The sequence below is a fragment of the Homo sapiens genome, chromosome 12 (assembly GCF_000001405.40).
Source record: "Homo sapiens chromosome 12, GRCh38.p14 Primary Assembly".
Taxonomy (NCBI): domain Eukaryota; kingdom Metazoa; phylum Chordata; class Mammalia; order Primates; family Hominidae; genus Homo; species Homo sapiens.
Window position 1 is genome coordinate 100,400,712 of NC_000012.12, and position 26,438 is coordinate 100,427,149.

The window sequence follows — 26,438 nt, forward strand, 5'->3', positions numbered from 1 at the left end:
AGGGGGAGTTTCAGAGAGTAACTTCTCCTTTCAGCTAATAACTCCCAATAATGGGAGGTCACAGGGCTCATCTTTCCCTACCAGACGTCCAGAGGATAGCAGAGGTCAGCTCACTGCCTCTAGTCACAATTATCTTGTCTAGACAAGATAAACATTCACACACAGGTAAGCATTTGCAAGGTTAAGTTTTACAAAGTAAGAAATACATGTAAAAATGTACCCATTCAGGAGCTGAATGGAGACAGCAGCCCTCTTGCCATCTGGAATTTAATTGTTCACCCCTCACCTTTTTTTTTTTTTTTTTTTTTGATACAGTCACTCTGTCACCCAGGCTGGAGTGCAGTGGTGAGATCTTGGCTCACTGCAACCTCCGCCTCACGGGTTCAAGCAATTCCCGTGCCTCAGCCGCCCAAGTAGCTGGGATTACAGGCACGCGCCACCATGCCAGGCTAATTTTTTGTATTTTTAGTAGAGATGGGGTTTTGCTATGTTGACCAGGCTGGTCTTGAACTCCTGGCCTCAAGTGATCTGTCCACCTCAGCCTCCCAAAGTGTTAGGATTACAGGTGTGAGCCACCGTGCCTGGCAACCCTCTCCTTTTTTTTTTTAATCAAGACTTTAAAAATCATGATCTTTTAAATAATTCAATGTCCCTCATTTAAAGATCTGGATGAGAATCCTCCCAGTCCTCCTAAGCAAATTTTGTATGTTCCTTTGCTTGCTCTTTTTAGCTTCCAATATTGCGCCTGGTTGAATTTTCAAAATTTCTCTTAGATTTTTTTCATCTTCTGATTCCATTCTCTCATGTAATTCCAAACTGTGATGCTGGAGCAATCTTTGTCTAAATCCTGTGTGGTCTCTGGATGAAGTTAAAGGGCATCTTGGTGACCTTCCTCTCCTGGAAGCCCTGTTCTGTGGCACACTGGGAGTTTGCCTGTCTCTGCACGGAGGCAGTCTGATTCCTGCTCAGTTTGATTAATTCCTGACTTTACCATATGAATTCTAAATGAGCTGAAAAGGCTTGCATGATGATTGGTCAGATTCCCTCAATCTTTTCTTGTTCCAGGTTCCTATGCAGGGGCAGTGGTTGCCATGCCCCTGGCTGGGGTGTTGGTGCAGTACATTGGATGGTCCTCTGTCTTTTATATTTATGGTGAGTGATTTGACTTCACAAGTTCACATGTGACTCATAGAGATGGTATTTTACTGCATATGGGTTTGGCTCAGAGTTCATTACATCAAAATAGAGATTACTAAAACAAGTTTATTGTATAAATGGAATACTTTATCTATGATTTGATTAATATTTATATTAAAGTTGACCTAAAAAAATAAGTAGAACATTGTCTTTCTTTAAATACCAGTTAACAAGAGGAACGTCAACAAAATACTTACCCCTAGCTGAACATACTGCCATTTGGAAATATTGTAAAGATCCTTTTGTAGTTCATAAATGTGATAATTGGGTGTTCACGTGCATGTATGAGATGTCTGAGTCCCTCAAACCTTGTTACAACATTGGTACATTACCCATTTTACCTGAAAAAAATATATATGGTAAAAATTGAAAAATTTAGAAACGGAAGAAAATGAGACCATATAACCCAGCCTTTTCTTTTTTAACTGCAGGCATGTTTGGGATTATTTGGTACATGTTTTGGCTGTTGCAGGCCTATGAGTGCCCAGCAGCTCATCCAACAATATCCAATGAGGAGAAGACCTATATAGAGACAAGCATAGGAGAGGGGGCCAACGTGGTTAGTCTAAGTGTAAGTATAAAAAGTCAGATGAAGACTTACCTTTTTTCATAAGTGATTGTGTTGCCTTCTTACAGAAAAAATGTCAATATCTTTACTAAAAATATCATGGTATTTTTACTCCCTAGAAATTTAGTACCCCATGGAAAAGATTTTTCACATCTTTGCCGGTTTATGCAATCATTGTGGCAAATTTTTGCAGAAGCTGGACCTTTTATTTGCTCCTCATAAGTCAGCCTGCTTATTTTGAAGAGGTCTTTGGATTTGCAATAAGTAAGGTAAACACACAGATGCTCCAAATATTTTTGAACTTTAAATCTCTTGATTCTACAGAGAATAACTTTGTATGATAAAATAATTAAATTGCTGATCATAATTCATAACAGTTCTGTGACACCTAATAGCCTGGCTGTCAGACAAGTTATACATTCTATGCATAGTATGCATAGCTGTTTAATTTCTTCTTAGCAAGGATCAGAGCCGTATTAAGCTGCTTTAAAGATTTATGTTGTACCCAATCTTAGAGTGTTTTTGAAGCTAGCTCAAGGACGGCATATTAGGCAAGGATAAAAAGATTTGAGGGTGTGGGTTTTCTTTTTTTCCTGTAAGCTACTCAGTGAGTAGCAGTAAGAACCTTACCATTCATTTTGCAGAACACCCCTTCTCCATAATGGTGGCTATAGCAGTAACAATCATTGCTTGCAATGGGTTAGAAAGAACCTCTTTCTGCCAGGCGTGGTGGCTCACGCCTATAATCCCAGCATTTTGGGAAGCCAAGGCTGGCGGATCACCTGAGGTTAGGACCAGCCTGACCAACATGGCAAAACCCTGCCTCTACTAAAAATACAAAAATTAGCTGGGCGTAGTGATGCACACCTGTGATCCTAGTTACTCAGGAGGCTGAGACAGGAGAATCACTTGAACCCAGGAGGCAGAGGTTGCAGTGAGGCGAGATTGCACCACTGCACTCCAGCCTGGGCAACAGAGCAAGACTCTGTCTAAAAAAAAAAAAGAAGAAGAAAAAATAAACAGAAAAAAAAGAAAGAACCTCTTTCAATGCTCCCAGACATTATCATCAAGCCAATTGTGTTTTAGGGAGGAAGGGTGTGGATAGTGAATCATCAACCATCATCATAAGATAAACCTCTTTCCTACAAGGGAAAGAACAGCAGCCGAGCAAACACAAATGTCTGCCTAGCTACAGATACTGTCAGAAGTGACCATGGAAGAGCTGGCATAATCATGAAATGGTGGCTGTCATCAGTCATCAGTGCTCACTGGGTGCCAAGTGCTTTATCTCCCATGTGCCATGCCCTCTGTGATGAATAAAAGTCATCGCTGCCCTCAAGGAGCTTCCAATCTGGTAGAGGACACAGATAGGTCTAAAATCATTCGCTCATTCATCATTTATTTATTATGAAATTCAGGCCTACCCAGCTCCCACATAATTAGATGCTTAAATTTGGTGGTGGTAGGTAGGGGGGCTGTGGAGTGGAGGTGGGCAAGGGAATTAGGGAGGCCCCTCTCTCAGAAATAATGACAAACTGCTTACTGTTTCTTTCCCTTCCAGGTGGGTCTCTTGTCAGCAGTCCCACACATGGTTATGACAATCGTTGTACCTATTGGAGGACAATTGGCTGATTATTTAAGAAGCAGACAAATTTTAACCACAACTGCTGTCAGAAAAATCATGAACTGTGGAGGTACTGTGGATTTCATAGATGGCTTAGGCAGCTTTTGTAGAATTAGGGTAAACTGAACTGCAGAGCATATATTAAGAAGTGACATTTAGTCATTGGAGTGGATCTTAAAGACCTCTAAGTCTGTCCCTCAGCAGACACTTGAGTGTTGTCCATCACAGTGCTGCCAAGAGGTCATCCAGCTGGGACCTTTCCATACATCCTTCCACATTTATTGTTTGCTTATGTAGTTTATTCCCTTCTCTGCTTACCTTTCTACCTATCCATATGTTTTGGTAAGAAACAGAAGAAAAGTAGTCTTTCCTCCTAGCCTATGCTTGTGCATGGGATATATGCACACACACACACACACACACACACACACACCATTCTCTTTCTTGATTTTATTTAGCTCCTGCTTTATGTTTTAATTTTGTAAAGACAAAGTGAATGTTAGGTGATTTCCCAAAAGAGGTAGGCGAAAGTAATTGTGAACCCCTACAATGTTCATGAGTGCTTTTTAAAAAACTCATCTTTTTTGTTTAGCTTTTAAAATTAACATTTATTGAATGCTTTCTGTGCCAGACACTAAGCTAAATCTTCTACATACATTATTTTATTTAATCTTCATAACCACCATGTGGAGCAGGTACTATTACTATATGCAATTTGCAATGAGGAAACAGAGGTAAAATAAAGGGACTTGCTCAAGTAGCAGATCCCTGCAAGGTATCAGGTAGGCCGGAGCCTACCGCCAAAGCTCTTAGTTTGCGGCTACCCCTCTGGAGGACTAGTCAGGATGAGCGAGCAGGAGGTAGAGGATAGCGCCACCTATGGGCAAGAGCTCACAACTGTGATATTAAGTTGAAAGGGACGGATTGCGTATGCTCTGACAGATAGCTAGGTCTGGCACATTTAGAAGTGAAGACTATACCGAGGGACACAGGAGCAGGCATGATCTGATCCCATAGCATTTCGGGAAGAAAGCCTAAGAGTCTGTTGGCACCTGTTCTCCCAGTTCCTTGACTGCTGGTCCCAGGCAGGGATGTGTGGGCCTGACCTTAGCTTGAACTTTCTTGTAGAGGACTGAGGGTTAGCGGATATAGGCCTGCTATCTGGTGGGCAGGAGGTGAAGCTCTGGGACATTGCATTCAAGTCCTCTCCAAGAGAGCTGTAGCAGCTAGAATAATGCCCATGTCCTAATCCTCAGAAGCTGTGAATATGTTTCCTTACATGTCAAAAGGGACTTTGCAGGTGGGATTAAATTGAGGTTCTTGAGATGGGAGTTTATCCTGCATTATCTAGGTGGGCCCAATATAATCACAATAATCCTTATAAAAGGAGGAAGGAGGGTCAGAGTCAGAAAAGAAGATGTGATGGTGGAGGCAAGAGTCAGAGTGATGCAGCCACAAACCAAGGAATGCAAGCAGACCCTAGAAGCTGGAGAAGACAAGAAGAGATTCCGCCATAGCACCTCTAGAAGGAATGCAACTCTGTAGGCTGCTGCCTTGACTTTAGCCCTGTACCATTTTGGATTTTTGGCCTCCAGAACTGTACAATAGTGCAGAGAGTATTTTAGAGGTGACATCTAATCATTGGAATAGATCTTAAAGACCCCTAAGTCTATCCCTCAGCAGATACTTGATATTTGTGTTGTTTTGAGCCACTGAGTTTGTGGTAATTTATTACAGCAGCAAATGAAAACTAACACAGCGGTAGGCAGGGTGCAGTGGCTCACTCCTGCAATCCTAGCACTTTGGGAGGTTGAGGCGGGCAGACCACTTGAGCTCAGGAGTTCGAAATCAGTCAGGGCAATAGTGAGAACTTTTCTCTATTAAAAAATAAAACATTTATAAAATGAAAACTAATACAGTAGCCAAAGCCTCACCCTTCTAATGATAAAATTCTGCTCCAGCTGAACAGCCCTCACCCAAGCCCTGAACATATCTTTCTGTCTCTGACTTTGCCCACTCCCTTTCTCTTTCCCTGTGAGTTCTCACCTTCACCTCTCAATCCAGTCCTCTCTATACATCCAGCTCAATTCTTCTCCTCTTATGTTTCCTTAAAGCCATGCCATTCTCCAGTGATCCCTCTGAATATGTCCACATGGCTAGATTGGCAACTCATCATGTGGTGCCTTATTGCAGCTCTCTCAGGAAAAGATTTTAGGCAGAGGGAATAGTATGTGCAATGACCCTGGGGCAGGCAGGAATGTGGCCTGTGTGAGAATAGAAGGAAGGGGAGTCAGAATGGCTGAGTGACGGGAGACGGGATCGGGATGTTTTTCTAGGGTCAGATCATGGCAGGCCTTGTCGGCGTATGCAGAGCTTGGGTTTTATTTGAAGTACATTGAGATGCAGATGATTTAAAGCACGGAATGGATATGATCTCATTTTTTTTTTTTTTTGAGACAGAGTCTCGCTCTGTTACCCAGGCTGGAGTGCAGTGGTGCAATCTCAGCTCACTGCAACCTCCGCCTCTTGGGTTCAAGTGATTCTCCTGCCTCAGCTTCCTGAGTAGCTGGGATTACAGGCATGGGCCACCATGCCTGGCTAATCTTTTGTATTTTTGTAGAGACAGGGTTTCACTATATTGGCCAGGCTGGTCTCAAACTCCTGACCTCAAGTAATCCGCCCGCCTCGGCCTTCCAAAGTGCTGGGATTACAGGCATGAGCCACCTCGCCTGGCCTTGCTTATTTATTTTTAATCTGGGGAATTATGCAGGGTACAAGAGTAAAAGAAGGGAGACCAGGTAGGAGGTGATTTCAGTTGTCCTGTCTAGAGAAGATGGTGGCTTAGACAAATGAGGTGGCAATGGAGATGGAGAGAGGGGGGTCAATTTCTAAATTCTCAGAGCCAACAGTTCTCATCTTTAAATTACATAATAATATTTACTTCAGAGGATAGTTATGAGAGTTAAATGATACAACGTATGAATGCACCTAGTGCGGTGTTCAACCTATAAAAAGTTCTCAACAAATGTTAATGCTGCTTTTTTTCTCCTATGTTCAAGACACAAAAAACACAGAAGTTTTTCAAAGAGTTCTTTAACAAATATCTGTGATTGTATTTCCTTTGGACAAAAAAATGTACTTCTAAACTGGCAACTTTAAATAAGTTTCTGGATTTTAAACACTACTTGCACAACCTCTTCTAAACCCAGATGCATTGGATATTCTTGAGCATATTTTGTGGGAATGTCTTGTTCCTATTTAATTCTGCCCCAGTACCTCTGCTGTTTCTCCATAATTGGTGGTGATTATGTTATGTTGTGGTGATGAGAACTTTCAAAGATGTTTAATTGCTAACAAAGTGCCTGTTGAGAGGAAATAGTTTTTTTTCTGCAGAAACTAGAAGGCATATGTGGAATCTTTCTGCCTCATCTCCCATCTTTAAAAAATACCTCTTCACATGGCTTTTCATGTTCATATATATATATATTTTTTTTGTTTGTTTGTTTTGTTTTGTTTTGTTTTTGAGATGGAGTCTCGCTCTGTCACCCAGGCTGGAGTGCAGTGGCGTGATCTCAGCTCACTGCAAGTTCCGCCTCCCAGGTTCACACCATTCTCCTGCCTCAGCCTCCCGAGTAGCTGGGACTACAGGCACCCGCCACCACACCCGGCTAATTTTTTGTATTTTTTAGTAGAGGCGGGGTTTCACCGTGTTAGCCAGGGTAGTCTCGATCTCCTGACCTTGTGATCCACCCACCTCGGCCTCCCAAAGTGCTGGGATTACAGGCATGAGCCACCGTGCCCGGCCATTCTTTTATATTTTGACATAGTAGGACCAGTGAGTTATATATAGAAAATAAAATTTTTAAAAAGACCATAATGGTCCCACTTTTTCTGCTTAAATACAGAGATGCTAGAGCAGAGATAACTACATGAAAACAAAGTTTTGTGCCATCAGTGAAGAATGCAGGTTGATTTGGAAATGATGAAGCACTGGTATGATCTTCCAGAGAATTTTGGTTGGCTTTTTGGTTTCCTACTAAGAAATATAGAAGGCATTTCTCATCTGAGAAGGATCACACATATCTTGGAGCCTGTCATCTTTTATTTCCATAGATTTTAATATGCCATTAAAATCATTTAAAGCAAAACAGATCACTTAAGACATGATGTTCAATTCATTCTGAATCAGGGTCTACGTCTATGATGCTTAAAGACAGATGCCAAATTCTTGTCCTGCCCCCTCTATAGAACATGCAAAGTGTAACTGAGGTCAAAAATTCTATTCTGGCTGAATCAGTTGCAAGTGTGAACTTCAGATTATTTTAATATGAAATAAAATATTTCTTAGGCCTTTAAGTCCTAGTTTTGTTTTTCTTGTCAACTCTAAATAGGTTCAATTTTAAGGATCTCCTGATTACCCCTAAAGTTGAAATTTTATCCTTAAGCTCCTGAAACATGCAGCCCTGTCTCTAGTATTTTAACTGTCAGTAGAAACCATTTAGGCTCTTAAATGCTTTTTTTTCCACTGGCAATCTGCTATTTGGCCAAAATTTTTTTTCTTACAGATGAACTGATGTATCATTTGTAAGTTTTATTCTTTATACAATGTCATCATTCTAATTCTTTGGGGGAATTGACTTTCTGCATGCTTCTGTTCAGAGTGTAAAAATAAAAGAAGTTTCAGCCAGATGCCTTGTTATTTAGGATAGGCACTTCTAAGACACATATAGTTAGTATATGAAACACTAGCTATTTTTCCCTATGTGTAGTCTTAAATGTTGAAACAAAATTAAGAACAAGTAGCAATGATATAAAGCCTATAGTTTTAAAAGTAAGACTTCCCTAATTACATTTCATCCTCTTTAGAAGCCATTTAAAACAATTATTAGTTCTTGCCCTTCTTTATAGTAGTGTTGAAGAAATAGGTTCAAAAAGGTAAATATTAATAACTTAACCATCATTTACGGTAAGTACTTCAGCTTGTGAATCTTATTTTCTTCTTTCTGGGTCCCATTTCCTTTCCTTTGCATTAATTCATTAAACGTTATGTATGTATGTATGTATGTATGTATGTATGTATGTATGTATGTATGTATGTATTTAGAGACAGAGTCTCACTCTGTTGCCCAGGCTGGAGTGCAGTGGTGCAATCTTGGCTCACTGCAACCTCCACCTCCCGGTTTCAAGTGATTCTCCCGCCTCAGCCTCCTGAGTAGCTGGGATTACAGGCACATGCAACCATGCCTGGCTAACTTTCATATGTTTAGTAGAGAAGGGGTTTTGCCATGTTGCCCAGGCTGGTCTTGAACTCCTGACGTCAGGTGATCCGCCTGCCTCGTCCTCCCAAAGAGCTGGAATTATAGGTGTGCACCACCATGCCTGGCCAAACGTTATTTATTGAGTGCATACTACATGCTAGACAGACTCTGTGTTAAATATACAGTTTTGTGGGAGAGGCAGAAACACAAATGAAAAGTTACAAAGCAATATTGAAAAGTTCTATAAAATGATGAGAAGGTGATGTCAGCTTCATTGGTTGAGGGTAGGGAGAGGGTTGTTAGGGAAGCTTTCTAGAGGAGGCACTATTTAATCTGGACTTTAAAAATAGTAAGATTTATCCAGAAAAAGAGAAAATGATGAGAGAAGAGTATCCCAGGTAAAGAAACAATGTGTGAAAATATGTACAGGCATGAGATAGTATTGTGTGGTTAGAAAACAGCTAATAGAGGAGTATGTCTGTGGCACAGAGGGCTATCCACAGAATGGGGGCAGTAAGCAAAGAGATGAGGGCTGGAAGAAGATGAAACTGGAACAGCAGGAGGTATTCATTATAGAACACTATACTCATGATATGGAGCTCATGACAAACACGTTAAGCACAGGAGCAAATAATGAGGTGTGTGGCTTAGAAAGACAGTGGTATTGAGAATGCATCAGAGGAGGACGAGTTGGGAAGACTACCAAAGTGGCTTATTGTGGCTGAGCATGGTGGCTTAGGCCTGTAATCCCAGCACTTTGGGAGGCCAAGGCAGGCAGATCACCTGAGGTCAGAAGTTGGAGACCAGCCTGGCCAACATGGGGAAACCCGGCCTCTACTAAAAATACAAAAATTAGACTGGGCGTGGTGGCTCACGCCTGTAATCCCAGCACTTTGGGAGGCTGAGGTGGGTGGATCACGAGGTCAGGAGACTGAGACCATCCTGGCTAACACGGTGAAACCCCATCTCTACTAAATATATAAACAATTAGCTGGGCATGGTGGTGGGTGCCTATAGTCCCAGCTACTCAGGAGGCTGAGGCAGGAGAAGGGCACGAACCCGGGAGGCAGAGCTTGCAGTGAGCCAAGATCACGCTGCTGCCCTCCAGCCTGGGTGACAGAGCAGGACTCCATCTCAAAAAAAAAAAAAAAAGTTAGCCGGGCGTGGTGGTGGACTATAATCCCAGCGACGGGGGAGGCTGAGTCAGGAGAACCACTTGCACCCGGGAGGCAGAGGTTGTAATGAGCTGAGATTGCACCACTGCACTCCAGTCTGGGTGACAGAGCACGACTCCATCTCAAACAAAAGAAGAAAAAAAGGTGGCTTATTGCAGTTTTCCTGGTAAGAGGTCACGGGGCCTGGAACTAAAGCAGTGACAGGGGAGGGGAAAGTGGCAGTTGCACTGGACAGATGTTTCCGAGGCCAAACCTGCAGATTTGTATATGAAAGCTCAGGCAGGAGGAGAAGTCCAAGGTAGTTCTGAAGTTTCTGCATCGGACTTCTGGCTATCATTTGTTGAGCTGTGCCCATGTGCCACACTCAGTACCTCATATACCAATTTCATTTACTTTTCCGATACCTCACAAGGCTGTGGTACTATCTCCAGCTTTTGGATGAGGAATCTAAGAGGTGTAGTAACTTGTTCAAGGTCACAAAATTAGTGATTTTGAAGTGGAAAGTGAACCCATACCAGTTTGACTCTAAAGATTGGGTTCTAAACACAGAATATGGAAGATTAATTTAGAGGAGAAGAAAGCACGTGGTGGCGATGGTTTGGTGATGGTTTGCTTGTTTGTTTAGGAGTAAAAAAATAGGGGAAGAGGCCAGGGGTGGTGGCTCATGCCTGTAATCCCAGCACTTTGGGAGGCTGAAGTGGGCGGACCACCTGAGGTCAGGAGTGGCCAGCCTGGCCAACATGGTGAAACCAGCCTGGCCAACATGGTGAAACCCCAACTCTACTAAAAATACAAAATTAGCTGGGCGTGGTAGCACATGCCCATAATCCCAGCTACTTGGGAGGCTGAGGCAGGAGAATCATTTGAACTTGGGAGGCAGAAGTTGCAGTGAGCCAAGATCATGCCGTTGCACTCCAGCCTGGGTGATAAGAGCAAGACTCTGTCTCAAAGAAAAAATAAATAAATAAATAAATAAAAATAGGGGATGAGAGAATTGATTTGGGCATGTTGCCTTTGAGGTACTGTAGAACAATTGTGTGGAGATGTCTGGAATCAGCAGACAGTCTCCAAATGAAGCACCACTAATTGTCTCTTCCCCCTCCTAAGGCACTCTATATACTTGGAAATGATATTTATATCATTTTTCTGTCTGTTGTCAGCTGAACTTTTTTTTCGGGTGAGAAGGAACTTCTTCATAATTTCCTCATTCTTTTTATTTTTTATTGTGCTAGACTCACTTATTCTGAATGAAAGGAACAGAAAGTACTTTTGTTCTGCAATATTTTCTGTGCAAAATTCTCATGTATTGTTTGTTTTTTTTTTTTTTAAGAGGCCTGAGAGCTTGGTGAACTTTGAAATAGAAAAATTTTGACTTTTGCTTTACAAGGGGTGAAGTGCTGTTTTTGTTTGTTTCTTTGTTTGTTTTTGTTTCAGATATTTGCTACAGTTTTCTGGTTGCTTTTGGCAATAAATATTAGAGTGTTGTCATTTTACTTTTAAGGGAAAGGCCATAACTAGTCAAAGGGGAATCATTACCACAGTTATATAGTAGAGTTTTAGTATTTAACAATGGCAGGGACAGCTACCCATGAAGCAACTAATAATTAACATCCCTCATCTCAGGAGCATCATTGGAACCTATTGGGACCGTGTGGTGTTCAAGGTGCACCGCGATAATGTTAGAAAGTTTGTGAACACCCAGGGAATATTAGCAAAGTCATGTAGTCATGAAAGTCCTGGGTGGCATTGTAAGCACTGTACCAGAATGTAGGTCTGTGGAGGAACAGAAAACCAAACACTGCATTTCCCCACTCATAAGTGGGAGATGAACAATGAGAACACATGGATACAGGGAGGGGATCATCACACACTGGGGCCTGCTAGGGGGCAAGGGGAGGGACAGCATTAGGGCAAATACCTAATGCATGTGGGGCCCAAAACCTAGATGATGGGTTGATAGGTGGAGCAAACCATCATGGCACATGTATACCTATGTAATAAACCTGCACATTCTGCACATGTATCCCTGAACTTAAATCCCAGAACTTCAAGTAAAGTTAAAAAAAAAAAAAAAAAAACTTAAATTCCAGAACTTAAAGTAAAAAAAAAACATAGACACAAACAAAATAAACTTAGGTCTGTGGAATTATAGGTTAGTTCTTATTTGATAAATAAATGAACTTGGGTTGACCGATATGAAAATGACATTTTTTTCCCTTGCTGTTTCCATTTGCAGGTTTTGGCATGGAGGCAACCTTACTCCTGGTGGTTGGCTTTTCGCATACCAAAGGGGTGGCTATCTCCTTTCTGGTACTTGCTGTAGGATTTAGTGGCTTCGCTATTTCAGGTAATGTGTCCTTTGGGTTTCCAGATCTTGACTATAGATTCAACAAGTCCCAGGAAGAAGGAAGGACAAGGATATTGTAGCACCTTCTTTCAGTAGCCAGTCCATTCTCAGAGAGCAGGACCACCGTCCAGAGAATGTGATCTAGTGGGGGTGATTTTGTAAGATCACTGAGAACTGGGCTTGGGAGCTCAGTTAAGGTGGAATTTTTCCTACTTACTTTGTTACGGGAAAAGACACAAAGTGCAGATGACCCTTCTGAGACACGAGCAGAGGCCCAAGCATATGTCCTGGGTGAAGTGGACTTTCATACTTTAGCACCATGTCACCCTACCTGACAGAGGCTCCTGTGACTTTTTCAAGCCTCGCCCTCTTGCTAGAGAACTGCGAGTGTCATTACAGTCATAGGATCAGAAGTTTTTTTAAGAGTGAAAACCTTCTTTAGATTTTTGTCTACTCCATTGCTTTCATTTTCCAAACAAGAAAATGCGGGTCCATAGAGGGGAAGTGACTTTCTGAACAGGGTAAAGAATAATGACAATGATGATGTGAGCTAGCGATGACCAAGCACAGATTCTGTGCCAGGGAATATTCCATGAGATCTGCATATATTAAGCCCTGTCTCTCTCACAACTACCCTGCTGGGTATCAGTGCTATTACGATCCCCATTTTACAGGAGCAGAAACCAGTCTACTATATGTGAGAGAAAGGCCAGAGTGCAATCATATCAGAAGCTTCCTATGCAAAACTGGGTCAAAGAGTGAAATTTAGTTGTTTGTCTATCTTTAAAACATCGTAATAAGAATATGGTTACTGGCCGGGTGCGCTGGCTTACGCGTGTAATCGCAGCACTTTGGGAGACCGAGACGAATGGATCACTTGAGCCCAGGAGTTCAAGACCAGCCTGGGCAACATGGCAAAACCCCATCTCTACAAAAAATACAAAAAGTTAGCTAAGTGTAATGGCGCACACCTGCAGTCCCAGTTAGTCAGGAGGTTGAGGTGAGAGGATGGCTTGAGCCTGGGAGTTGGAGGTTGCGGTGAGCTGAGTTCGTGCCACTGCATTCCAGCCTGGATGACAAAGCGAGACCCCTTCTCAAGAAAAAAATAAATAAATAAAATAAAAATAAAAAATGGTTACTTAAAGAAAATTTCACATATATTGTATATATATCATAACATTGTGAAGCAAGTAGTAGTATATCACTATGCTACTGGGTTTTTCACTATTTTACTAAAGCTCAGAAAAATTTGATACTTTCTTAATATCACACAGTTAGTGGCAAAGGAAGGATGACAGAACAGTTCTGCCTGGCCCAAAGGCCGTGCTCCTTCCATTATTCCAGGTTGCCTTAAATATCAAACAGTGTTAGTGTCCCAGAATAGAAAAATATGGAACCTCTGGTCTAAACTGCCCTAAGACAGGGGCTTGTATCTTTCAAAATAAATAGAGTTGATGAATAAATTAGAAAATAAAGTAAAAGTCTAAATTAAAAGTAACTTGCAGCTAAGTAATTTGGTTTAGAGATGCATAGACCTGGGTTTGAGGCCCTCTTTACTATTTACTATTTATAAAATAAAAAATTTGCTAAATTATGAAAACTCTCAAGCTTCAGTTTTCTCATCTAGAGATTGGAGAGATGAAACAGCAACCTCATAGGGTTGTTGGGAGGATAAACTTAGATAATTCATGTATTTCCCCGCACTTCTTGTGGGCTGGGCATTATTCTTAGCACTGGGGATATTGCAGTGAATAAATGAAAGTGTCCATCCCCATAAAGTTTACATTCTAGTGGAAATACTTATTCAAATAAAAACCTTAGCTGTATTTATTTGAAGTCCTTAGCACAGTGCCAGATGCATAACAAAATTAATGAGTGTTCACCATTATTGTTCTATTAGTACACACACCAGCCCAGTGCCTCTCAAAGTGTTATGTGAAATCACCATAAGATATTTCAGAATGCAGATTCTGATTTGGTAGCTCTAGGGTGGAGCCTGAGATTCTGCAGTTTTAGCAAGTTCCCCAGAGCTGCTGCTGCTGCAGGGCAGTCCACACTTTGAGTAGCAAGGGCAGAGCAATCACGATTTGCTTCCAGTAGGAAGCGGAGGAACGCCTTCCCTTGATAACTTTGTGATGCAAAAGAGATCCATATCCTGTTCCCAGAGATACTGAAATGTTCAAGTTCATATTGCTTCCTTTCCCCCGATTGCCAATTAAGTCACAATCTGAAGGAGAGAAACCCAATACTCCAAATCACATAAACTGCTTTTTTGTTTTCCTTTTTTTTTAGACAGGGTCTCTTGCCTTGTGCAGTGTCTCATGACTATAATCCCAGCACTTTGGGAGGCCGAGGCAGATGGATCACCTGAGATCAGGAGTTCGAGACCAACCTGGCCAACATGGTGAAACCGCATGTCTACTAAAAATACAAAAACTAGTTGGTTGTGGTGGTATGTGCCTGTAGTCCCAGCTACTGGGGAGGCTGAGGTTGCAGTGAGCCAAGATTGCACCACTGCACTCCAGCCTGGGTGACAAAGAGAGATTCTGTCTCAAAAAAAAAAAAAAAAATAGACAGGGTCTCGCTCTGACACACAGGCTGGTGTGCAGTGGCATGATCGCGGATCATTGCAGCCTCTACCTCCCATGCTCAACTGATTCTCCTGCCTCAGCCTCCTGAGTAGCTGGGGCTACAGGCATGTGCCACCACTTCCAGATATATATATATTTTTTCGAGACAGGGTCTCACGATGTTGCCCAAGCTGGTCTCGAACTCCTGGCCTCAAGTGATTCTCCTGCCTTGGCCTCTCAAAGTATTGAGATTACAGGCATGAGCCACCACACCTGGCCTTCTTGCCACTTTTTAAACATGATTTCATTTAATCCTCATTGCAACCTTGATGAGAAAGGTATTGCTATATTCACTTTATTGGTGGGGAAACCAAAGTGTGGTTTAACTTGCCGAGTGAAGTGGCTGGGAGTGTGGAATAAAGGTCTGTTGGTCCCAGCAATGACACTGTGGGAGGGATTGCAGCCACAGGGGCAATAATTCCTCAGAATCTACTGTCTGCCAACTTTTAAAGGAATAAACATAGATGTCAGGGAAGACTGACTGGCACAATTTAGGAGCTGATTATAGACAAGACTGCTGAGATAGATGAAGTTAAAAATAGGCAAGAGATGAGTGATGCCTGTTTTGGGAAATGTCCTATACAGAAGATAGATTCTCTCAGTTTATGTGTAATTTTTTTATCTGCTATAAAAATCTATCAATATCTCAATTTCTCAGTGATTTTCCCCCCTCCCCAAATGTCAGGATTGTGCAGCTAGAAACCTAAATGGCTTTTCCCACATTATCTTTAGCTGAATGCAGATGCCCAGGCTTTGTATCAGAGCATAATACTCAACAATCATATTAATTGCTTCTTATCTCTGGATTCTTTTCTAATAAAGTGTTTATCACATTCAAATCCATGGTAAGATTAATGAACTTGCAGCTGTTTTATATTCTGATCATTTGGCACATTGACCTGAAAGATAAGGTATGTTTATTATTACCAAAAAGTTTTCTCAAAATTTCTCCCTGAAGGGAAGTAGGAAAGACAACCAACCAGTGTGCCAGATTAGAACAAAAAAATGTTTTAAGTCCTATTTTCAGTTTTTTTTTTTGCACAGAATAGAGAAATAAAAAGCAAAGCAAAGGAAGACAAAAAGATGAATAAAGCCTACAACCCCTTGCTATAATTTCAGTAGCTGAAGCTGGTAATTAATTTAGCAACTATTTATTGAGTGACTACAATGTGCCAGGCACTTTGCTAGTTCAGGGGAGATGGTGGTAAACAAGACGGATGGCTAACCACCTGTAAAGAGCATGCATGTTGGTTTACACGTCTATGCACCATGTAGTTAACATACATTATTTAACTTAATTCCTACATCAATTTTATAAGAATCGTTATCCCGTTATGTAGATGAAACTAAGGTTCAGGAAGTTTAAATCCTTGGTCTAGGCTTGCATCTCAACTAAGCTGCCAGAACTGAGGTCTGTCTGATTTGAACATGCACCCCTGCAATATATTGACAAAGTCAGATCTCAGCTCGCTGTAACCTCCAACTCCTGGGTTCAAGTGATTCTCCTGTCTCAGCCTCCCAAGTAGCTGGGATTACAGGCATGTGCCACCATGCCTGGCTAATTTTTGTATTTTTAGTAGAGGTGAGGTTTTGCCATGTTGGCCAGGCTGGTCTTGAACTTCTGACCTCAGGTGATCCACCCGCCTCAGCCTCCCAAAGTGCTGAGATTATAGGCGTGAGCAACCATGCCCGGCCAGCAGCATTATCTTTTGATAGAAGACCTCAAAGAGAGGGAGTTACTTTGCAATGGCAGCAGAAGGTAGCAGTAGTAGTAGTGGTAGTTAGCATAGCTTTGATATTTGCCAAGGGCTTCACATACCTATTTCCCCTGAGTCTCTATCACAGCACCTCTGTGAAGTGAATAGTAATATTATCCTCATATTGGAGATGAAGAAACAAAGGCCCCCAAATTACTTGTTTACATAGTAGAAATAAGATTCAAGTCCAGATTTACAGACTCCAAATCAAGTAGGTGTGTGAAAGTGTTTCATAAATTACAGAAGGTTCTCCCAATGTTTGTGCAAATGTTTCATTAAAAAGCACCCTTTTCATTGTGTGAAAATGTGGCCATGTGGCCAATAAAGTAGGCTTACCCTTGGCTGCCTTTTAAGAGTAAGTCAGGGGTAGGAGTGGGAATATTATAAAGCAAGGTTTGGTCTAGTCATACTGTATGTGATTGTATGATTATTTACTCTGAATAAATGTGATTCAGGCTTTAGGCTTTTCAATATTGTGCCAAACACCGTATTTTGGAATTCAGAACCTACAAGGTAGAGATGCCATAATTCTCTTTATAGAGAGAGCCCTTGATAGATATCCATAATCAATTCCAGCATTGTCTACCAGTGCTGCTTTGTGCAGACACAGCCTCTTGAACCCAGTCCTCTTGGTCTGGAAACTAGTCATATACTAGAGGAAACCAAACAGATTGGTAAAGGCTGGGGCAACTGAGTATTTTCCAAAGCATATTTGAAATTCTGTTCTTGACTCTGATTTTGAGGTTTTGGCTTCACTGTAGGTTTTAATGTCAACCACCTGGACATTGCCCCACGCTATGCCAGCATTCTCATGGGGATCTCAAACGGAGTGGGAACCCTCTCTGGAATGGTCTGTCCCCTCATTGTCGGTGCAATGACCAGGCACAAGGTAAAGGTCTCCTTTGTGGCTATGGGTTACAATATCAGAGGACTGGAGCTCTACACAAACTTGAGATTTCAAGGCTCTACTGCAGTCTGTAAATGTGTATGTCCTTGACCTTGACTGAGTCAGCTGAACTTCTTTTTTTTTTCTTCCTTCTTCTGATTTTCAAATCATTGCTTATCAATGGCACCAAGGCTAGTTGTTGTTTTGTTCTATGTTTTCTCAATTGAGGAATAATAGTCTGGGGAGAGGGGATGGGCCATAGAAACTGTTTAGAGACCCAAAGAAGAAACTGAGGCAGTCAACTTGGGATAAATGAGTTACTGAAGATTGTTTTCTCATTCTCAGTGATTAAACCTTATAGCCTATTTCCATCCATTGCTTAGCATGTTTCAGCATAAAAAGATGAGTGCTATTCTACTTCCTTGTTAAGAATAAAATAAACAGGACATTGATAACCTACCCAGTTGTTACTGAGCCTTTGTGAATTTAGACAAGGGTGGATGGTAGAGGCAGATCCATCCAGAGTTCAACCACAGCCCACATGATTTCTTTATCTTTGTCACTGAAACGTCTCAAGATGCTGCTTTCTGCAAATAAGAATTCTTTGATACCATGGGATTTTTTTCCCCCATCTATTTTCTTAGTTGGATTGCCTATTACAAATATAACTTCAGAAGTTTTTGCAGCTTCCTGCAGAAGAAAGTGTGAGATAAATTTTCTTACTTTTTGACAGAAAAGGTAGGATTTTATAGGCAGAGAATTCATGTTTTCCATCTCTGTTCATGAAATGATAGGATTGATAACCTGACTATTAAATCCAAGATATCTTCCCCCAACCTTAGACACAAATTCCCATTATTTTTTGACATACTTTTTTTTACACTGAAAATATTATAAAGTTCTTGTCAGTCAAGGGTGAGAACTTTAATGGCTCAAATATTGTTATGTATCCAACAACAAGCAAGAAGGAGACTTCTGATATTTAAAACGGTGGGTTCCTAAAACAATTTTAATTTAGCTGACTATGTGAAGGGAAACCCCATTTGAGTATTCAAAAAGCTATGCAATGGTGCTGCAGGTATTAATATTTGTATATGTTGTTTATTTTAAAATGTATTTTCTTGTAATCCCAGCACTTTGGGAGGCCAAGGCGGGTGGATCATGAGGTCAGGAGATCGAGACCATCCTGGCTAACACAGTGAAACCCCGCCTCTACTAAAAATACAAAAAATTAGCCAGGCGTGGTGGCGGGCACCTGTAGTCCCAGCTACTCAGAGGCTGAGGCAGGAGAATGGTGTGAACCCAGGAGGCGGAGCTTGCAGTGAGCCGAGATCGCGCCACTGCACTCTAGCCTGGGTGACAGAGCGAGACTCCATCTCAAAAAAAAAAAAAAGAATTTTCTAAATTAAAAAAATACGTATTTATTGTTTTGTCTAACTTTCATATTCATTGTTGTCTTAACTTTCATTTTTTAAGTTTTTCTTTTAAATTTGGTTTGAATCCCGGATGGTGCTTCTGACACACGTCCTCCCGCCCAAGGAGCCTCTAGAGCATCACCTTCCAAATGGGCAGGTGCTTTTTCACAGTGGAGGCCTCCAGGACATACTGGTAATCTCTAGTTTTAGTTAAAACATTAATTGGCACTTTATTTCCTTATTTAGACCCGTGAAGAATGGCAGAATGTGTTCCTCATAGCTGCCCTGGTGCATTACAGTGGTGTGATCTTCTATGGGGTCTTTGCTTCTGGGGAGAAACAGGAGTGGGCTGACCCAGAGAATCTCTCTGAGGAGAAATGTGGAATCATTGACCAGGACGAATTAGCTGAGGAGATAGAACTCAACCATGAGAGTTTTGCGAGTCCCAAAAAGAAGATGTCTTATGGAGCCACCTCCCAGAATTGTGAAGTCCAGAAGAAGGAATGGAAAGGACAGAGAGGAGCGACCCTTGATGAGGAAGAGCTGACATCCTACCAGAATGAAGAGAGAAACTTCTCAACTATATCCTAATGTCTGAGAGGCACTTCTGTCTTCTCCTTACTTTAGAAACAGAAAGTATCCATACCTATTGCCTTTCTTGTAGCCCAGCTTGCCAGAGGTCCAAATATTGGGAGGGGAGAAGATCTAACCAGCAACAGGGAAAAGAGAAATATTATCTTTCAATGACATGTATAGGTAAGGAGCTGCGCTCAGTTGATAACATAGTTGATAATACATATTTTTTGAATTGACAGTTGACCCTTCTCTCAAAGAGCTAAACTTATTCAGAAAGGAATGACTAGAAGAAAAAGGAGACAATACCATGTTGTTCAAAGAAACATTGAAGGAAATTGGGATGTTTGGCCAGAAGGAATGTAAACAGTAGTAGTAGCTGCCACCACATCTCTAGGGTAGCCATGCAGAGGAGGGCTTCATATTCCCAATAAACCCCACGTTGTGGCAGGTGCTTTATAAACACTCTTATTTAATCTCCACACCTTTATGACACACATTTCTTATCCCCATTTTACAACCAAGGCATCTAAAGCAACAAGAAATGAACTTGCCCAAGGTCATCTGCCAGGGTCAGTGCTGAGACTGTTGAAGCTCTCAATAGGTGGCAGTTTTAGGGAAGATTTCCATTCAGTGTAGGGAAGACATTTGTAATAATGAAAACTGAAAATGGAGTAATTGTGAGTAACTCACCACTTTAGCAGGTGTTGGGGAAGGGAAACATTTGGGTTGATGAGGCAGAGGGGATTCAAATGTGTGAGAGGCTAGATTCAAAGACCCTCAGTGTTCTATGTTATCTGAAGAGTCAAATGGTTTTGTGACTCCATAGTTTTTAAAGTAATAAGGGTCAAAGACTACATCAGAGATTCAAATAGGTTTTTAAAGAAAAGCTAAGCAAGAGAGCCAAATTTTTAGAAATCTGATGGTCAAAATAGCTGAAAGCAGTAAACAAGAGATTGGCTATTAAATTTCAACTTTCCATAATATTAAGAATGTAGCTAAATGATGTCCCAAACTACTTACAAACTTTTAAGACATTTAATAATTTAAGAAGTAGGTTCATGTGTTTTCTTAGGTAAAGTTCTTCTGAAAGAATTTTCTATTTTTAAAAAATGTATCTCTTTAGCCTTTTCTGCTGGAGATTATATTAGGAAGTTTCATCAGATTGTATAAAATTATGATTTTGTATCAAAAGTATTCATGATGACTCTATTTGGAATGATATTCAGGGAAATCACAATAATATAGCAGTAGTTATACAGAGAAATACTACAATGAAAACATTTGGGGCAATTAGACCTACAGTTACTGTTGAAAAATTCACCTTTGATTGCATAAGGCAATTACATGGATACTTTTAGATATATTTAAAATTTTAACATTGGCATCTAAAGTGTTATTTGAAAATAAAATTATTTTCCTGTTCATTGATTTTAAACATTTTATTCCTACTTTCAGAAGAAAAATATAATACGGAAAAAATTATAGATTTACTTGTAGCTTATTATTGTAAAGTGTTTTTTTTTTTTTTTTTTTTTTCTAATTTCTCCCACATGTATTTCTGGTCCCCAGTGATACTAGCTGAGTTGTAGTGTATTTTATAAATGGAATAATCTTGGGGAAAAATTGCGATTCTTCATTAAATAATATTCTTTATGTCACTAGCATACAATTTATGTTAGTAGACATCTTTAAATCTCTTTAATGAGTGAATCCATGCAAGCCCCATAAAACAGTTCCTAGCATGCAGAAAATGCCCACGTAAATAGCTGTCATCATCATTATCTTTTAACATTTTGGGGGACTTTCCAGTTGAAAAGAAAACATGCTATGTCATTTTTATCCATTATCCCTGGAACTTATTGTGAAAGTTGTGCTGTTTTCTAAGTAAAATAAAAAATAAAAAATTAGCAATTTATGATAGCCAGTGTTTTATTTTGTGTGTGTGTTAGTAAAGTCAAATAATTGTATTTTAAAAACTCACGATAATCCTTAAGGTAGTATTGTATATTGTGACACAAAGTTGTATTTATCGCATCATTTGAAGTTGGTATCATATGCAGAAAACCCACGTTTTTCCTGTAACTTGCCTTTATAATATGTATTTTTTTTTAAATGAAGTCATGGATCAAGGTGTTAAAAACTAAAAAATACATTATTTTGTTGTGATGGGTTTTTCTCTGCATAGGTAGCAATGGATAAATAATTACATTTTAACACCAGACAGATGCCATTTGCAAGTCATTGTACATTTTGCTGCGAATGTCCATTTGTAGGTCAATTCATGGATGCAAACCATGGATTCTAGCAGGAAGGGAAGGAGGCCTGTAGGTGCAGGGTTCTTGAGACAAGAAAGATCTGATGATCCTTTCCAACAATCAAAGTTTTGGAAATTCCTTAATATGACAAGAAAAGTAAGTATTAAAGAAATAATGGCCCATTTGTTATCCCTGTCTGGATGTTAAATTCAACAGGTAAAAATTGGAACCTATTATGTGTATTTCTATTTTACTCTGCCTCCTCCCAACCCCAATAAATCTGTTTTTCTTTCTCTATTTCTTATCTCAGTTAGTCACATTATCTTTTTGCTCAAGCTAGAATTCTTAGAGTCATCCTTGACTTAAAATATTTTTCCCCTTCTCTCTCTTCTCTGCCAAGTTCATGTAATTTAATTTTCAATCTGTGGATCCATGTCTTACATCAGCTTGGGAAAACTCTCTCCATTACCTCTTAATATACTGCTTTTGCTCCATTCTGTCTCTACTGTTTTGCTAGGCATTCAGTTAAATGTATTCTAGACTGTATGTAGGTCTCTGATCACCTGTTCTGTATTTTCCAGTGCTTTGCCTCTTTATATGTCATGCTGGATATCTTCTCCTGACTTATCTTTCAGTTCTTTATCTCTCTCTCTTCAGTGAGGTCTAACCTGCAAAACTCCATCCATTGTGTTCTTAATCTTAGTGATTGTATTTTCAGTTCTAGAATTTTTATTGGTTCTTTTTCGTTTCTGCTATGTCTTTTAAAAAGTATTTCCAGCTCTCTGCTGAAATTTTCAATACCGTATTTTATTTTCTGGGACATAGTAAGCTAATTGTTTTAAAGTCTGCTTAGTTCTAATATTTGGAGACCATGTTAGTCTCTTTTATTGTTGTTGTTGTTGTTGGTTTTGCTGGTCCTTATTCATACTATCTTAACTGCATCTATGCCTGGTTTTCTTTGACTTTATCAGACATTGCATTTGAAAAATTATTTGTAGAAATAATTTTTAGCAATTTTAGCCACGAAATAATGCCGCTTTTTTTTTTTTTTTTTTTTTTTTTTTTTTTTTTTTGTCCTTCTAGGAGGTTTTTGTTTGCTTCTTTCATGAGCCTAAGGGCATTAACAGTCTGGGATCACCTTAGTCCAGTTGCAGGGCCTTAGGTATTTTGTGCCATCCAGATGATTTGAAGCTGGACAACAGGATGTATGAAGGCTCTTACTTCCTGTTCACCCTTACTGCTGGAGCATAACACTTCAGGGTCCCAACCCACACTACAATGTTTTTACCGGGGTCCAACTCTTGTTTCCATACCAGGCCATCAAAGACACTGCTCAGCCATCAAACACTGGCTTTGTTCGAATTAACAAATCCTCCCAGGAGAAAAGTGGCCTCAAATGTCAGAGTCACTTCTCTGGATTTTCATCTTCTGTCAGACGTCAGATGGTAGCCTGGGTATTTTTCACTACTGTTTTGGCTTTTCAATGCTTTTGAGCAGAATTAATTTTTTTTTTTTTTTTTTTTTTTTAGTTCAGCTTTTCTGGTAGGAAGGTTGGTCTGAACTACCTAGTCTGTCATTAACAAACGCTGAAATATCTTTTAATTTTAACTTCACAAGTTCTCTCAAACTAATCTACCTCCTCAGGGAGAGTGTGATAATAAATTAAACTTAGATCTCAGTGGCTTAATATAGCAAATGTTTAGTTCTCTCTTGTGTTACAAGTTGAATGTGGGTTGGTTGGGGTCAGGTGGAGTGGAGGCTTATTCCAGTCACTCAGGTATCCAGGATGTATTTTCTCCATTCAGCATCTTGTAGTCAATTATTGGGAACATATAAATTCTGATATCACCATGAAAGGGGAAGGGAGAAGGAGGCACAATGGGTTTTACTGCTTTACTTGGAAGCAACACAATCACTTTTGGTTGCAGTCCATTGACCTACGCTAGTACATAGCCCAAGCCTAACTTCAAGCGTGGCTAGGAAACAAAGGGGAACATGTAGATTGCTAAGCAAGCATGAATTACACCTTCCATTCAGCTCTAGCCTTGGTTCAGGGTCTTATGAACTCTCACTTAGCATATTGAAATAGTTTTCTAACCCCAACTGTCATAAATGATGTAAACCTGCTATGTGTCATTCTGAGAGATCTGAACTAGGTTGTAAGGAGCAAATCTTTGTAGGGAAAGGGCCCGTGAGCTTCCTCCAGGGAGGACCAGAGGCCTTAAAAATATCAATTTCCTGGAATAAAATAGATTATGGCCTGATTCTAACATGAACTAATAACCACGTGGGCCAAACTGAAGGGGCAGAAAAGTTGACTTTTCCTTTAGATTACAAGTAGTACTGTATCCTGGGCCTTATACTAAGTCCTTTCCATACATAATCTCATTTAATTCTCATGGCAACCCAATGAGAAAGGGTTAATTATTTATTCCCAAGCATTTATTAATAAGTAAATGGTATTTCAGAGAAGAATTTAAAGTCAGGTCCCTTAAGGCCATATTTTAATCTTAATTCTTAATTAACACTAATAATCTATTCTTAATTTTTAAATTCTTTAACCATAAGCCTAATTAAGATCAAACTCTTATTTTAATCTAATCTTAATTGAATCATAATCTTAATTCTTAATCTTTAATCTGTTCTCTATGGCTTCTACTCGCTAGCAGTAATTCCAGACAGTGGTGTTCTCAAAGTCAAGAGTGTTCCAGTTACTTCAGTGAAGTATGATCAAAGTGATGGAATGAGCTCTGGCAGTTTACTCTAGACCTAAGGAGATAGGGACAGGTGAAAAGCCAGATGAACATGTGAGATCATTTTTCTCATCAACTGCTGGACTGCAGAGAACCAGGGGCCCCTGTATTTCCCCTATTTCCATAGCTACGCAGATAGGTAAGATAGGAAAGTTGAACCCAACGCTTACTGGGTGTGTTTGTGTTGAGTGAGGGTTGGTTTGCAAGGGACTGATTTTTTCCCAGGAATCCCAAATATAGACACAACAAACATCCAGCCACACAGTACATGCCTTGCATAAACTGGGTGCTCAACCAATATGATCTTCAAAATCTGATGTGGTGTTTAAGGAGATTATGCTGGTGATGGCACTCAGGTTATCTTGTTAAACATGGCGGAATAAATGCAGTCATTTCTAGCTGATTTCTAAAATTAAAATAAAAAAACACATAAACTGGCCAGGACAAAGTGAAAGAGGGAGAAAAATCACGTTTAGAAAGCTGAATAAGGATGCATGAGTCTTAACTGACTTCAGCAGAACTGAGTGAAAAAGAAGAAAGCTCTTTCATGTTACTGCACCCAAGAAAGGTTTAAAATGGAAGGTACCAGCACCAGGTACCTCTGGAGGACAGAGTGAAGAGTGGAGTGGGGTTGGAGGAGGAGGACTGAGAACATAAGGACTGGTTGAAAATTATCATTATCAGATTTAGCAATGCTGTTGAAAGGGCATGTAAGAAGCAGTTATCACCCCAGAGTCTCTCTCCCACCAGCTCAACCAAGAAACTGCCCCTCCCCAAACCTAGTGGAAAACAGGAAGTTCATTTTCTGGGTGGGGGCACTCTGGATTCAAGAACACCCATCATAGCTGAGTATCGGCTCCAAAAGCTAGAGATTTTGGTCCGTTTTGGTTACTGATGTATCTCAAGTATCTAGAGATGCCTGGCATTTAATAGCCACCTGGTAATTATTCTTCAAGTGCATGCATGAATGAATGAACCTTATTATACACAGGGAAATTAATCAAAAGTTTGCATAACGAACACTGAAAGCTTCCAGCTTCCTTCTTGGGCTGAGCTTCCAAAATGCTGCCAGTCAGAATCATATCCCCTAAGCAGGAGATTATAGGATTCATGGGATCAGTGGTGGGAACTCACATATAAGTAAAAGGGCTTACAGCTATTGACATTTGGGGCTTTCCCCATCAAAATAAAGTGATCCTTGCCTAGTCACTCCCTGTGGGACCTACCCACCAAGCCCTGCCCAAGGGAATTATTCATTCATTCATTCACTTATTCATTCAACAATTTTTTTTTTTTTTTTTGAGATAGGATTTCACTCTGTCATCCAGGCTGGAGTGCAGTGGCACCATCATGGCTCACTGCAGCCTTGACCTCCTGGGCTCAAGCAATCCTCTCACCTCAGCCTCCTGAGTAGCTGGGACTACAGCCATGTGCCACCACACCTAGCTAAGTTCAACAACTATTTAGCACCTGTAACGAGCACCTCTAATGTTCTAGGCAGTAGGGCTAGAAAATAAGTAAACAAAATAGGTCGCTGCTCTGATGGAGCTTATATTCTGGGGGAAGGCACAAAAAATAAGGCTGTTAATGAGTAAAACCAGGACACAGTATGTCAGTGCTAAGTGCTGAGAACAAACATAAAACCAGGTAAGGGGGGTGGGGAACATGAGGGATGATGTGTTAGGTCAAGTGTCCAGGGATAATGTGATCTTTGAGTAGAGAACTGAAGGCTGTGAGGAAGCAAGTCAAGTGCATTTTGGGGGAAAGGGTTCCAGGCAAAGGAAAAAACAAGGGCAAAGGCCCTGAAGGGGGAACATGATGGGTATATTTAAAGAACACTAAGTCCCTTAAAGTACTCAGGTTCTGGACATGTTTCAAAGGAAGAGGGAACATTTTCTGAGAGGCAGAAGACTGGGGAGGAGCAGGACAATACTGGGGGAAGGAACTGGGAATTTTGACTTGTTTGATTTTAGAGCTTTCCTTGCCTATTGATATCT

The 26,438-nt window shown here is 40.4% G+C and overlaps 1 protein-coding gene and 1 non-coding gene across 3 annotated transcripts in view; both read left to right on the forward strand.

Moving 5' to 3' along the window:
- The window catches only part of SLC17A8 (solute carrier family 17 member 8), a 64,982-nt gene extending 43,638 nt beyond the window's left edge, over window positions 1–21,344 (forward strand). The window contains exons 6-12 of one of the 2 annotated variants that reach the window (NM_139319.3): window positions 1,066–1,152; window positions 1,629–1,768; window positions 1,885–2,034; window positions 3,327–3,459; window positions 12,059–12,169; window positions 17,318–17,445; window positions 19,104–21,344. In NM_139319.3, coding sequence (NP_647480.1) covers window positions 1,066–1,152; window positions 1,629–1,768; window positions 1,885–2,034; window positions 3,327–3,459; window positions 12,059–12,169; window positions 17,318–17,445; window positions 19,104–19,448 — 1,094 coding nt within the window. In that variant the 3' untranslated portion in view covers window positions 19,449–21,344. The remainder of the gene's footprint in view (window positions 1–1,065; window positions 1,153–1,628; window positions 1,769–1,884; window positions 2,035–3,326; window positions 3,460–12,058; window positions 12,170–17,317; window positions 17,446–19,103) is intronic. The other variant, NM_001145288.2, reaches the window with a different exon arrangement.
- LOC124903108 (small nucleolar RNA U13) lies at window positions 1,434–1,539 on the forward strand. The gene has a single exon (XR_007063645.1). It is a non-coding gene; the product is annotated as a small nucleolar RNA U13 (small nucleolar RNA).